Raw genomic sequence first — 14,744 nt, 5'->3', positions numbered from 1 at the left:
ATCTTGAATTCCCATGTGCTGTGGGAGGGACCTGGTGGGAGGTAACTGGATCATGGGGGCAGGTCTTTCCCATGGTATCCTCATGGTGGTGGGTGAGATCTGATGGTATTATAAGGGAGAGTTTTCCTGTACAAGCTTTTTTTTTTTTTTAATTTTTTTCCTTTGCCTGCTGCCATCCATTAAGATGTGACTTGCTCCTCCTTGCCTTCCCCATGATTGTGAGGCTTCCCCAGCCATATGGAACTGTAAGTCCGATTAAACTTCTTTCTTCTGTAAACTGCCCAGTCTCAGGTATGTCTTTATCAGCAGCATGAAAACTAATACAATAGTCAAATCCTAGGACTAAAAATTTAGTTGTAATTCCACAATGACTTTAATGCAAATAAAATTGTCATTATATATCAGAAAAGAAGTGTAAAGATACACCATTTTAAGCCTTTCATCCAATATATACATACAAATTGCAGTTCTCAGTCATTTTCCCCCATATTTTGTTTTATAATGGCTTAGGTCAATACTTCTCAAACTATCTGTAGTGAAAGATCAGTATTTCCACCAAATCCATCACTGACCAATACTTTTCTAAAATATAAAATCATGTGCTTTAGTTGTTGCAGTAATATTAAATTGCTATAAAAGTTTCTAAATGTTTACTTTTATCTCTGTGCTTATTTCACCATGTCTCTTAACAAAGTTTGTGAATAACACACTTTAAACACCACTGACTTAGATCATAATGCAAATATAACGTATCCCCATAGTGTATCAAACTTTATACCATGCCTCTTCTCCAGAATAAACACAAAATAAATAGACATACTTAATAACAGAGTAGTGTTTCACAGAAACCCCAGGCGATGAAAAGACAGGCAGTAGACGGTAGGGCCTCCAAGAACAGGGGTTAAAGTCAAGATGACCTAAATCTAAATCCTAGCTCTAATACTTACTTAGCAGCTGTATGACCTTGGGCAACATGCTTAATTTTGTCAAACCAGTTTTCCTTATCCATTAAATGAGATGAAAACACTTATACTTGAATGGCTGTCAAAATTAAATAAGTAACATACTAAAGTTATCAGAGTGCTCAGCACATAGAAAATGCTCAAGAAACAGTTGTCGTCATTATTTCCTACGAAATCAAAACAACACTGGGAAGCAAGTATGTTAATTAAGAGGGGTAGTAAGTTATAATTAAGCATCAGATGTGGCTCTGAATTTCTTGGCAGCAAACTGGAAAACTGAGGACTCACTAACCTATCTTGAATTGTCTTGTGAATATTAGTTAAAATGTAGTATTATTGCCAAACATGTTTTATGGCTTTGTTAAACTGTATATATTTAATACACATATTTGATGAGTTCTGACTAGTGCGTGCACCCATAAAACCATCACCACAATCAAGATTCTTCACTACAGTTAAGATACAGAACATTTCCATCATCTTAAACGTTATATCAAACATTTACATCATCTCTGTCAAATGAGCTGTTTTGTTTGAAATTAACTCCCTCCTCTCAATAACCTGCAACTTTCCAGGAGATACAATAACAAACTATTTATTTAATATAACCAGGAAACTTAAAAAAATAAAAATAAAAATTCTAGCTTGTTTAAAGTGATGCAAGTAAATCAAAGTTGCATTTGTAATCTTTCTTCTAGGGGCTGTTAATCGTAGTTTCTCTGACTTGATCTTTAGTCCACTGGACAATTTAGTTGCAATACTTTCAAAGTTACAACTCAGATAAATTGGACCTGAATTGTCATGAAACATAATTTAGTGTCATGTTTTGTCTCACAAATATAACATATATCAATTATAAAAATAAAGCAAAAAAGCTGTTTATGAAAAAAGATAAAAGCTGTAGATTTCTCTGGGCAAGTTATGCCCTATGAAAAAATTAGTAGGTAGTACAGATTTGTTTTTACACTTTATAGCATAAAAAGCTAAAATTTAAATAAGAAATGAAATATTGTATCATACCATCTCAATTTTTAAAAGTTCTGTTTAAATGGTGATAAAAAGTGAGTAGACCTCACTTCAGAATAACAACACAAAGATACTTTGGCTAGTTTGCTTATCACTAGCTGCATTTTCTCTTTCTCTCCTTCCTTTGCCACAAAAGGCAGGGGGAGGGCTGAAAAGAGAAAAGATTCATTATTACTCAATTCCAAAGATGTATCTGGGGACTAAGTGTTTCTAGCACATCCCAAGAATATAAATTAATGAATTATTGTAAGCACCATGCAATGGGGCAAAAAACCCTGCTGTTGTTTTTGAAAGAGAACATCGGAAAAAAAGCTATATAAGTAGATGCTCTTTCCAAACTTTTCTAACTAATGAAAAATTACCATTCAGTAATTGTTACCATCTAACAGATGTAACCATTAATAATCTATTTCATTTTGGTCAACAGTTCTAGGTTCCAATGTTGGCACTGTCACTAAATAATCTTCAGGAATCATTTATTTAGTCAATTCATAAAGCCAGTCACTCCTGAAAGCTGGAAACTTCCCTTGAGTGTTAAAAATATGGATGAAGGCCGGGCATGGTGGCTCACACCTGTAATCCCAGCATTTTGGGAGGTTGAGGCGGGCAGATCACGAGGTCAGGAGATCAAGGCCATCCTGGCCAACATGGTGAAACCCGTCTCTACTAGAAACACAAAAATTAGCTGGGTGTGGTGGTGCATGCCTGTAATCCCAGCTACTGGGGAGGGTGATGCAGGAGAATCGCTTGAACCTCAGAGTTGGAGGTTGCAGTGAGCTGAGATCGCGCCACTGCACTCCAGCCTGGGGACAGAGTGAGACTCCATCTCAAAAAAAAAAAAAAAAAAAAAAGATGGAAGACAACACTTACTAGGTATTTTACAAATAGGTTATTGTCACTCATTATAAACCTGATGCTCTGTACTTCCCTAATCTGATCCAATCTCCCATGCCCTTACTGTTGTCTCAAACTTTCAAATGGTATACACTCTAGGAAACTTCAGATATGTGCTCAACAGATCATCAGCCTTTCCTCTGCATGTCCTGTCACCTTCTAGTCTTAATTATGCCATTCCTTTGCTTAAAACCCATCAATGGTTGGCCGGGTGCGGTGGCTCACACCTGTAATCCCAACACTTTGGGAGACCGAGAGGGGTAGATCATGAGGTCAGGATATCGAGACCATCCTGGCTAACACGGTGAAACCCGTCTCTACTAAAAAAATACAAAAGGTTAGCCGGGCATGGCGGCAGGCGCCTGTAGTCCCAACTACTCGGGAGGCTGAGGCAGGAGAATGGCATGAACCTGGGAGGCGGAGCTTGCAGTGAGCTGAGATCGCGCCACTGCACTCCAGCCCGGGCAACAAAGCAAGACTTCATCTCAAAAAAAACCAAAACAAACAAACAAACAAACAAAAAAACAAACATCAATGGTTTTCCCCAAAGCTTGTCCTGTCGCCTTCTAGTCTTAATTATTCTCTGAGGACAAGACCTCTTCTAACCTTACAGTGTACTTACTAAATACCAGGAACTATTCAAGTGCTTCGTGTATTTTAATTAATTTAATCCCAGTTGATCCTTTGCAGTAGGCACTATTACTCACATTTACAAGTAAGGAAACTGAAGGATAGAAATGATATGCAATACAGCTAGTAAATGGGAGAGGTAGGGATTTAAACACAAGCAATTTGGCTTTAGAGTCCTAACTCCTAGTCATTACTCTTCACTTTCACGGAGGCTGTTTTCCTTCTCATACCCATCCTACCTTGGGGTAAAGAGTGTGGAATCTTCCTCTTTATACTCATCTGACAAAACTCCAATCCTGGTTAAACTCAACTACATGTTTTTTTTTGTTTTCAGCCTGAAAATGAGCAACTAAACATTGGAGAAAAAAATCATACAATCAGGTTGACTTAAATTGAGAAGCACAAACTTCAAACAGGTACTCAACACTATCCTAACCCACTGTTTCCTTAGTAAATTTAAGTTCTTGACACAACTATTTCATACCTTCTCTTCTCAAAATCCTAATACTGTCTTCCCTCCATCATTGCTAAAGATCTAGTTTCAAACTTAAGAAAATGGAAGCAAAAAGAATATTCTTACCTTCCCTCCAACAAATCTGTAACCTATCTTCACCTATACCCATATTCTCTACTTTTCTTTCCATTATGAAGGACAAAGGACCTTCCTCCCAGTAAAGGCCTCCCTCTTGCTGTGTTCTGAATCTGGTCTCCTCTTGCCTTCCCAAGGACTATTAGCTCAGGCTCCTTCAATACTATCAGTTTCTTTTCCTGTCTACAGCCTAAAGTCTACCCCCCGAATCTCTCATGGTCTAAAACTAAAACTAAAACTAAAACTAAAATTAAAACCCATAGCCTTTCCTTGACCCCCACAGGCTCTCTGGCTGCCAACCCATTTCTTTATTCTCTCATAGCAAAACCTGAAAGATTTCTCTATATTTGCTATTTTTTCCTTATCTTTTATTCACTCTTCAGACTCCGTGAAATGCCTATGGGACTGTCCCTCCAGGAAAAAAACCCGTATAAAAATCACCCATAATGTGCTTTAACCAAAGCCAAAGGTCACTTCTGTAGCCCCTCATTTTATTCAACTCAGCAGTATTCAATACCTTGTTTTTGGCTTCCGGGACTCTTCCCTCTCAAGGTTTGTTATCTCTTAGCCTCTTTTTTTCAGTTTATGTTGGCTTCTCTTTTCTATTCAATTTTAAATGCTGAGGTACAGCTGAGTCTTGAAAAACATGCAATTTGAGTTGCATGGGTCCGTTTCTTCGTGGATTTTCTTCCACTTCTACTACCTACCCAAGACAGCAAGACCAACCTCTCTTCTTTCTCCTCCTCTTCCTCTGCCCACTCACAGTGAAGACAATGAGGTTCATGAAGATCTTTGTGATGATCCACTTCCACTTAATGAACAGTACATATATTTTCTCTTATGGTTTTCTTACTATTTTCTTTTCTCTAGCTTATTTCATTATAAGAATACAGCATATTATACATATAACCTACAAATGTGTTAATCAACCATTTATGTTACCAGTAAGGCTTCCAGTCTATAGTAGGCTATTAGTAAAGTTTTTGGGGAGTCAAAAATTATACGTGGATTTTCGATTCATGGGTCAGCCTTACTTCAAGGTTCAATCAGGAACCCTCCTCTCTTCTTTCCCTTTAGGTTATCTCCTATAGTCCTATAGCTCCAATAGCATCTGTTAACTGATGTGTCCTAAATCTATACCTGCCACTTTTCCTCTTCTATTATTCTAACCAGTTATAGCCCACTCCAGCACACCACTGATTCCTGCTTCTATTCTTGAGAGTCTGCATAATTCATCCTCCACAGAGAAGCCAGAGACACATTATGTCATTCCTTTGCCTAAAACCTGTCAATGGCGATAGAGCGAGACTCTGTCTCAAAATAACATAACATAACATAACATAACATAACATAACATAACATAACATAACATAACATAAAATACCGCAAAAAACCCATCAATGGTTTTCCTCAAAGCTTGTCCTGGTCACCTTCTAGTCTTAATTATTCTCTAAGGATAAGACCTCTTCTGATACAGCAGAAACAGCAACATCTTAGCTATACCCTAAATACAAATATTCCAATACAAAGCTTAGAATAATATCCAAACTCAAATACACCAATTTTTTTTGCATTCTAGGCATTTTGTTCTTGCTATTCTCTACATTTAAAATCTCTTTGGTCAACTCTATGTGACAGATTTCTTCCCGTCCTCCAGTAATATCAAACCCTACCAAAAGTTCTTTCTGATCAGTCTAAGTAGCCTGCCTGGGGCCAAACTCTTACCACATACCCTATAACATCACATTATTTCCTTATTAGCATTTGTTACACTTTGAAATTTTCCTATTTATTTGCTTGTTTCCTGTCTATCATCTCTCAATGGGATGCAAATACTATGAAGTCAATAGCCTTATCTTAGTTGTTCATACCTGCATCGGCAGTCCCATAATAGTGGCTGATAAACAGTAGGGCCTCAAATATAATCTGAATAAATGAACTAATCTATCAACGACAATATAGTTAAACCATTTTCGTTTGTTTTTTCTGAGAAAAGCTTTGTAGAAGAAAAATAAAAAGCAGAACTACAGTTCTATTTCTTAACTAGTATAGTCACACTTGACCTTACTCTCCTCAAATACAGAATACATTCACATGGCTATTAAGTGCTTTAAAAAACAGATTGCCTAAGAACATTTATAAAAATGTGTACATTCCAGTTACACTTTTAAAAAACTGGCTCAGTTTAATCTGTATTAAACATAACTATCTAAATGTGAAGGAAGTCATTCCAGCCCTGTGAAAGGAGATTTAAAAAATCCTATTTAGGCTGGGTGCAGTGGCTCATGCTTGTAATCCCAGCACTTTGGGAGGCCAAGGCAGGCAGATCACTTGAGGCCAGGAGTTCGAGACCAGCCTGGCCAACATGGTGAAACCATCTCTACTAAAAAAAAAAAAAAATACAAAAATTAGCCAGGTGTGGTGGTGCGTGCCTGTAATCCCAGCCTCTTGGGTGGCTGAGGCACAAGAATCGCTTGAACCCAGGAGGTAGAGGCTGCAGTGAGCCAAAATGGTGCCACTGTACTCCAGCCTGGGCTACAAAGCAAGACTCTGTCTCAAAAAAAACAAAACAAAACAAAAAAAACAAACTACTTAGGTATGATACTCCCAGACGTCGAAGTCAAATCTTTTCAAATTAATTAGCTGCAAATCTCAAGCTGGAGAAAAATTTGGAAAAAGTTTTATTATACTTTATGTACTTATTTATAGTCATGCATTGCTTGATGGGAATATGTTCTGAGATGTGTTGTTGGGTGATTTAGTTATTGTGTGAACATTCATAGAACATGCTTAAACAGACATAATGGTAAACCCTACTACACATCCTGGCTATATGGTATAACCTATTGCTCCTAGGCTGCAAACCTGTACAGCATGTTATATATTGAATACTGTAGGTAACTGTAACACAACAGTAAGTATTTGTGTACCTAAAAATAGAAAAGTACAGTAAAATACAGTATTAAAACCTTACGGGACCACTGTTACATAGGTGGGCCATCATTGAAATGTTATACAGCATATGACTATTTATATTTTCACTTTAGGTCTCAGAAAAGCTATACGAATAAAAACCTAAGACACAAGAGGTTTAAAAGCCCATAGATCTGCCAAGGTGACAGTGAAGCTGATTTAACTTTACGATTTCTTTTTTTACCAAGTAAATATACACAAAATTATATACGTTATTAAAAATTGTCTCTGAATGCTATAAAATCAGATTCTTTCTCATTTCAAATTCTGTGATTTCTGGTACACATAGCAATATGAAAATATTAATTTTAGAAAATACAAAACATAAGCACCATTTATAACTTGGAATGAGCCATTAGCAGGTAGGTGGGATTCTACTTTAAGCTTCAAATGGCAAACAGCCATAATAATAAACACTTAAGCACATACCCTTGAGTTACAAAGGATCATCCTGTCTCCAAAGCATAGTAGCCAAATAAACATTGTCCACGTATTACTCAAGATGATGATAATAATCACAGTTGATACTGACTTACAAATTACTCTGTGCCAGGCACTATACTAAGCCCTTTCATGTGAATTATCTCATGTATCTTCACAATACATCCATGAGGTAGATATACACATGAATCCATGTTCATATAAGGCAATTAGTGTTCAAGGTGCCACAGAGAATAAAAGGAAGAACCAGGAAGAACTCTGGCAGACTGACTCCTGGAATTGGCCCTTAATCAGTATCTTTCTGAACTTTTTTTTTTTTTTTTAAACCACAAGTCTTAATTCTCCTGCATGACATATTCTACCTCTCCTCTCTCATTAACTTTTTTCAAAAAACTTTTCCGGCTATATAGATTTCTTTCTTAGAAATTGTACTTAAAAAAAAACTATAATAATGTAAATACATATGTTATTCTTCCTAGACCTTGAATGAAGCACAGGGACCAAAGCTCAACTCAAAATACCCCAAGTGGTTCACCACTCAATACTGATAGTGTTTAAAATATAAGGCAAAAATGATCATGATTCTGATACAGAAGTTTTTATTTTTGGTTGTTATCTATAAAAGAGTGGGTTTTTGGCCAGGCATGGTGGCTCATGCCTGTAATCCCAGCACTTCAGGAGGCTGAGGCGGGTGGATCACCTGAGGTCAGGAGTTTGAGACCAGCCTGGCCAACATGGTGAAATCCCATCTCTAATAAAAATACAAAAATTAGCTGGGCGTGGTGGCAGGCACCTGTAATCCCAGCTACTTGGGAGGCTGAGGCAGAAGAATTGCTTGAACCCAGGAGGCAGAGGGTGCAGTGAGTGGAGACCGCACCACTGCACTCCAGCCTGGGTGACAGAGCAAAACTCGGTCTCAAAAAAAAAAAAAAAGTGGGTTTAAAAAAGAGACATGTAGCTTATTTCAAATTGACAGATAAAATTGTATTATGTACAATATAATGTTTTGAAGTATATACACACTGTGTAATGGTTAAATGTAGCTAATTAACAAATGCATTGCCTCAAATAGTTGTCATTTTTGTGGTAAGAACACTTACTACTCTTTGTATTTTTCAAGAACATATCATCATTAACCATAGCCACTATGCTGTACAACAGATTCCTTGAACTTACTCCTCCTAACTATATATCCTTTGACTAACATTCTTCCATCCTGTCATTTCCTCAAACCACCCCAGCCGCTGGTAAGCACCATTCTATTCTCTACTTCTATGGGATATACTTTTTAGGTTTTACATATTGGGTGAGATCATGCAGCATTTATCTTTCTGTGCTTTGCTTATTTCACTTAACACAGTGTCCTCTAGGTTCATCCATGTTATTGCAAAGAACAGAATTTTGCTTTTTGATAGGTGAATAGCATTCCATCATGTATATAAACCATATTTTCTTTGCCCCTTCATCTGCTGATAGACCCCTAGGCTGATTCCATATCTTGGCTATGTGAATACTGCTGTTTATGTGCACTTCTCTCTTTGACATACTGATTTCATTTTCTTTGGATATATACTCAGTAGTGGGATTACAGAATCATATGGTAGTTCTATTTTTTTCATTTTTTGAGGCCCCTCCTTACTGTTTTCCATAATGGCTATACTAATTTACATTCCCACCAACAGTGTGTTCCCTTTTCTCCACATCCTCTCTAACACTTACCTTTTGTCTTTTTGATAACAGCAATTCTAACAGGAGTGAGATGATATCTCATTTTAGTTTTGATTTGCAGTTACCTGATGATTAGTGACGTTGAGCCTTTTTTCATATACCTGTTGGCCATTTATGTCTTCCTTTAGGAAATGTCTACTCAGGTCTTTTGCATATTTTAAAATCAAGTTGTTTACTTGCTATTGAGTTCCTTATATATTTTAGATATTAACCCCTTATCAGATGTATGGTGTGCAGATATTTTCTCCCATCCTGTAAGTAGGTTGTCTCTTTACTCTGCTAATTGTTTCCTTTGCTGTGCAGAAGCTTTTTAATTTCATATAACCCCATTTGTCTATTTTTGCTTTTGTTGCCTGTGCTTTTAAGATCATAGATACAAAATCATGGTGCAGATCAATGTCACATAGCTTTTCTTGTTTCTCCTAGTAGTTTCATAGTTTCAGGTCCTATTTTTTTTTATAACCCAAGATGATTTTTGTATATGGTGAGAGATAAGGGTCTAATTTTGTTCTGCAGTTTATCCAGTTTTCCCAACACGATTTACTGAAGAGAATGTCCTTGCCCCACTGTGTATTACTGTTGCCTTTGTCAAAAACCAGTTGGTTGTAGGGCTGGGCATGGTGGCTCACACCTGTAAACCCAGCACTTTGGGAGGTTGAGGTGGGTGGATCACTTGAGCCAGAAGTTGGAGACCAGCCTGGCCAACATGGTGAAACCTTGTCTCTATTAAAAATACAAAAATTAGCCGGGCATGGTGGTGCATGCCTGTAATCCCAGCTACTCAGGAGGATCGCTTGAACCTGGAGGCAGAGGCCACAGTGAGGTGAGATCACACCACTGCACCCCAGCCCGGGCAACAGAGTGAGACTCTGTCTCAAAAAACAAACGAACAAACCAACAGTTGTTTGTAAATGTGTGGAATTATTTCTGGGCTCTCTATTCTGTTCCATTAGTCAGTCTGTCTGTTCTTATGCCAGTTCCATGTTATTTTGGTTACAATAGCTTTGTAGTATATTATGAAGTCAGGTAGTAGAACACCTCCAGCTTTGTTTTTTTGCTCAAGATGGCTTTGGTTATTTGGGGTCTTTTGTGGTTCCACAAAATTTTAGGATTTTCTTTTTTCTATTTCTGTGAAGAATGTCATTGGTCTTTTGATAGGAATTGTATTGAATCTGTAGATTGTTTTGGGTGACACAGACATTATAAAACAGGGATTTTAATTCAATAAATGGCCGTGGTGAACCTATATACAAGGGGAACTATATACAGAACATAAAAGACAACAATCTATTCCTCCCTAGAAAATAATTCCTAAGAGGTAAAAATGCTCTGAAGTGGGATGAAATACTACAGAGGTACTGCAGGTTGGGTTACACATCCAAAAACAGTATTACAGATGTGGCTGTCCCCAAATTTAGGATGTGCAGGGCTGATGACAGGATTCTTGCTGGATTAGCAGTATGCTTTAGTGCACAAATTCTATTATTAAGCACCTAAGGGATGCTTTATAGGACCTACTAAAGACAGGTTTTTTCTCTTGGCAAAGGGAGATATAATTCCTGAGGGTTATTAGTTATGAGGGGACAAAATGATAGTTCAGAAAACAAATATATCAAGGAAGTTTTCCTTATTTTGATGAAACCTGTGAACATCACTGATAGTTTAATATTCTGGTTTAGTCATATATCATTGTATTAACAGTATCTATAGAAAGAAGTAGTTGTGTGGATAATGTAAAACAGAATCCCAAACAACTAAATTTTGCTTTTAGGATATATCTGCTTTTTTCAAACATATCTTTCTAATGTTTTGTTTTTCCTAACATTAAAATGTTTGATTTCACTGTGTATACATTGATTGGGTAGGGGGAAATGAAACAAACATTTTAGATGGCAGGGGAAAAAAAATCAGCCTAAGAGTAAATATCAGAATAGTACACTTAAAGAACATCTAAATTATCTAGATTGACCACATTCTGTTTTGCTTTTATTAATAGTTTGGAAGAAGAAAGAAAACATGGCTTATTTTTTATATACAGCAGAAGGTAAGACATGAGAATAATGATAAAAATGAATGCATTGCTATTCAGAATGATTAGAGAGGTGAAACGCAAGATGAGGAATAACTAACTGTTAACTATCCCACCATGTATTTCTTTCCAGCTTATTTGAAACATAAATTTTCATCAGAAAGTACCTTTCTCAAAGTATCTTTATTTGTAGCTATCATTCTTCATTTAATGACAATGATTTTGCTTAAACTTTTACATATGCTAAAACATACTACTAGAAATAAAGTGAAATAAGCAAAAATAATTTTTACAGCATAATTAAACCCATATTAAGTTAATCAAATCATTATTTGCAAAATAAAATCTAACCAATATATTTAAAAATTAGTAATTTAACGTTTTCAGCATTTAAAAAATAAATAGTATGCTATTAACTTACTACAGAGTTGGATTTTCAAATAAAGACTGGTTTTTACATAAGTTAACATAACAATGCCGTACTATACATACTAGCCAAACATTTTTCTATACTTCCTAGTGTGTTCCAATTTAACTGAATATCTGTAAACAAATTTTAATCACAGCCAGTAGAAACAAATTTTTCCCATTAAAAAAAATCCCATGGAATTTTAACGTTTTTCTTTGCCCATTTTATTAAGACTGTTCCAAAAGTAAAATCATAAGAAAAAGCACACATGCAAAAAAATTCACTGAGATGCAAATTCAATCATGCCTATGTATTTAAAAGATAAGATCAAAATATTACACAGGAAGTCACCAACACTTTAGCTGAGTACTTTTATTTAAAGATGCTTTTTTAAAAAAGGGTTCACCCTGGACACAGACCATGCATGTATCTGTGCACATCAGTTTCCAAAATCTGTGAAAGAATGGTGACAGAAAGTAGCCTTGCACAAGGGTTAACTCCCTTGATGGACAAAGTAAACTAGAATTAATGTTGAGGATATCAAGATACTTTACAGAGAAAAATGGGGTACAGCCTACAGCAGACCTTCCCCCAGCTCCTACAACCCTTCAATGTCCATCCCCTCTCATGTTTTAAGGTTAAGATGGTAACAAAACAACAATATTAATAATGCTCATCATGAAAGAACAAAATAACTTTGCTGAGGTGTTAATTCTGTAAGAGAGAATTAACTCTAGATATTTTTGCAGATTCTGAAGCACGTAATAGAATAAGAACCAAAATAAGGTATTGCTTAATTATTGTAAAAAATCTCTACAAAACATAGGCACCCTCCAAAATACTGATAAACCATAAACTGTTACTACACCTCTCCTCACTTTCCATTTCACAGTACCTCTGTTGTCAGAATATCACTCCAAGAAATGCTGTAAAGTCTGTCAAGCACTGCTATTATTTTCTGAATTTCCTTGTTTTCCTTCATTACTGTCAACAGCACCATCATCTTCCTAATTACACAAGTTTGTACTTGTGCGATTTCATTTGGAGCAGTTTAATAAAGTCTACAAATGTGCATTTTTCAGAATGGTCTTTAATTCATGCCTATTTTATACCTGGACTATGTCAACAACCTATTTTCACTACCTTCACCTTCTCCAAGAGCCAATTAATTTTACACAGGAAAAAGCAGGTGGAGCATGTTCCCTGCTGGAAGCTCAGAAAAGTACATTTGATAATCCCTGGAAAGCTCTTTAGCTCAGTGTTAACTTAGCGTATAAGAAGTGCTCTTATTACTGCTATAATTGTGATATTCATTTTCTTAGACATGAAATGCAAGCTGTTAGCCATATAAAGCCTTCATAAAATAGACCCATTCCTTCAATCTTATTCACACTTCTGTCCCAGCTAAGCAAAACCTAGGCAATTGTCCACTGTTCAAGACTTGCTCCCTCCCATCTCAGTGCCTTTACACATGCTATTAATTTTGTGGATAGAATTTAATTTTCTATTAAATTATACTCAAACTCAAAATGCTATGTCTCTGCATGATACCTAGTGATTCAACCCCTTTGACCTAATTTTTAAATCAGTATCTTTTTCAATATTCAGAATAAGCTTGTCCAACCCACAGCCCAGAACAGTTTTGAATGTGGCCCAAGAAATTCGTAAACTTTCTTAAAACATTAAGAGATTTATGCATGGACCTTTTTAGCTTATCAGCTATAGTTAAGTGTTAGTGTATTTTATGTGTGGCCTGAGACAATTCTTCTTCCAATGTGGCCCAGGGAGGCCAAAAGTTTGGACACCCCTGATTTAGAAACATGGCTTACATGACAGTATAAAATGTAAAAAATGTACATATGCTTCATGTTTCTAGAAGTTTAAAGTCCTTTTTATTTTTTTGAGACAAGGTCTCATTCTATCACCCAGTCTGGAATGCAGTGGCACAATCATGGCTCACTGACGTCTCTAACTCCTGGGCTCAAGCAATCCTCTTGCCTTAGCCTCCTGAGTAGCCAGGATTACAGGTGGGTGCCAACATGCCTAGCTAATTAAAAAAAAAAAATTTTTTTTTGTAGACAGGGTCTTACTTTCTTGCCCAGGTTGGTCTTGAACTTGTGGCCTCAAACGATCCTCCTGCCCTGGCCTCCCAAAGTGCTGGGATTACAGGTATGAGCCACTGTGCCCAGCCTATAGTCCTTTTTAAATTGTTTTTAAAGCATATAACATTTACCATCTTTTTTTTAAGGGGTCTTGCTATGTTGCCCAGGCTGGTTTTGAACAACTGGGCTCAAGCAATCCTCTGGCCTTGGCCTTCCAAAGTGTTGGGATTACAGGAATGAGCCACTGAGCCTGGCCAAAATTTACCATCTTAACCACTGAGTGTACAGTTCAGTAGTGTTAAGTACATTCACATTATTGTGCAACCAATCTCCAGAACTTTTCATCTTGCAAACTGCAACTCTATACCCATTAAACAACAATTCTATTTTCTGCTTTTATGAATTTGACTACTTTAGATACCTCATGTAAGGGGAACCATATTGTATGGGTCTTTTTATTATAACTGGCTTATTTCACTCAGCATAATGTCCTCAAGATTCATCCATGTTATAGCATGTGTCAGAATTTCCTTTTTTAAGGCTTAGTAATATTTCATTCTATGTAGATACTGTATTTTGCTTATCCATTAATCCATAGATGCACACATAGGTTGTTTCTACCTCTTGATTATCACGAGTAGTGCTGCTATCAACATGGGTGTGCAAATTCCTCTTCCAGATCCTGCTTTCAACTCTTTTGGATATATCCAAAAGCGGGATTGCTGCATTTAGAGAGTAATTTTTTAAACTTTTTTTGAGGAATGGCCATACTGTGTTCCACAGGGGCTGAACCATTTTACATCTCTACCAACAGTGCCCAAGAAGTTTCTAATTTCCCTACATCCTTGCCAAAACTATTTTTTTTTTAATAGTAGCCATCATAATGGGTGTAAGGTTAGGTATCTCTTTGTGGTTTTGATTTGTATTTATCTAATGATTAGTGATCTTCAACATTTTTTTT

General features: G+C 36.5%; 1 protein-coding gene across 50 annotated transcripts in view, besides 1 other annotated feature; it reads right to left on the bottom strand.

Annotated features, from left to right (window-relative positions):
• DOP1A (DOP1 leucine zipper like protein A) overlaps window positions 1-14,744 on the bottom strand; it is a 103,680-nt gene that overhangs the window by 80,092 nt on the left and 8,844 nt on the right. Inside the window, exon 1 of one of the 50 annotated variants that reach the window (NM_001385857.1) lies at window positions 4,093-4,269. The exons of the other annotated variants lie outside the window; for them this stretch is intronic. The gene's annotated coding sequence lies outside the window, so the exon portion shown is untranslated. Of the gene's footprint in view, window positions 1-4,092; window positions 4,270-14,744 lie in introns of those variants that run through there. 50 annotated transcript variants of the gene reach the window in all.
• Window positions 4,266-4,415: an enhancer, noted in NCBI's record as "active region_24783". NCBI's record gives its function as "activates an Ori minimal core promoter by ATAC-STARR-seq in GM12878 lymphoblastoid cells {active_cell/tissue: GM12878}" and the evidence as "EXISTENCE:reporter gene assay evidence [ECO:0000049][PMID:35858748]".

Source organism: Homo sapiens, chromosome 6 (genome assembly GCF_000001405.40).
Source record: "Homo sapiens chromosome 6, GRCh38.p14 Primary Assembly".
In the NCBI taxonomy this organism is placed as follows: Eukaryota; Metazoa; Chordata; class Mammalia; order Primates; family Hominidae; genus Homo; species Homo sapiens.
The sequence above is the reverse complement of the archived record's forward strand: the minus strand, read 5'-3'. Positions and strand labels throughout refer to the sequence as shown.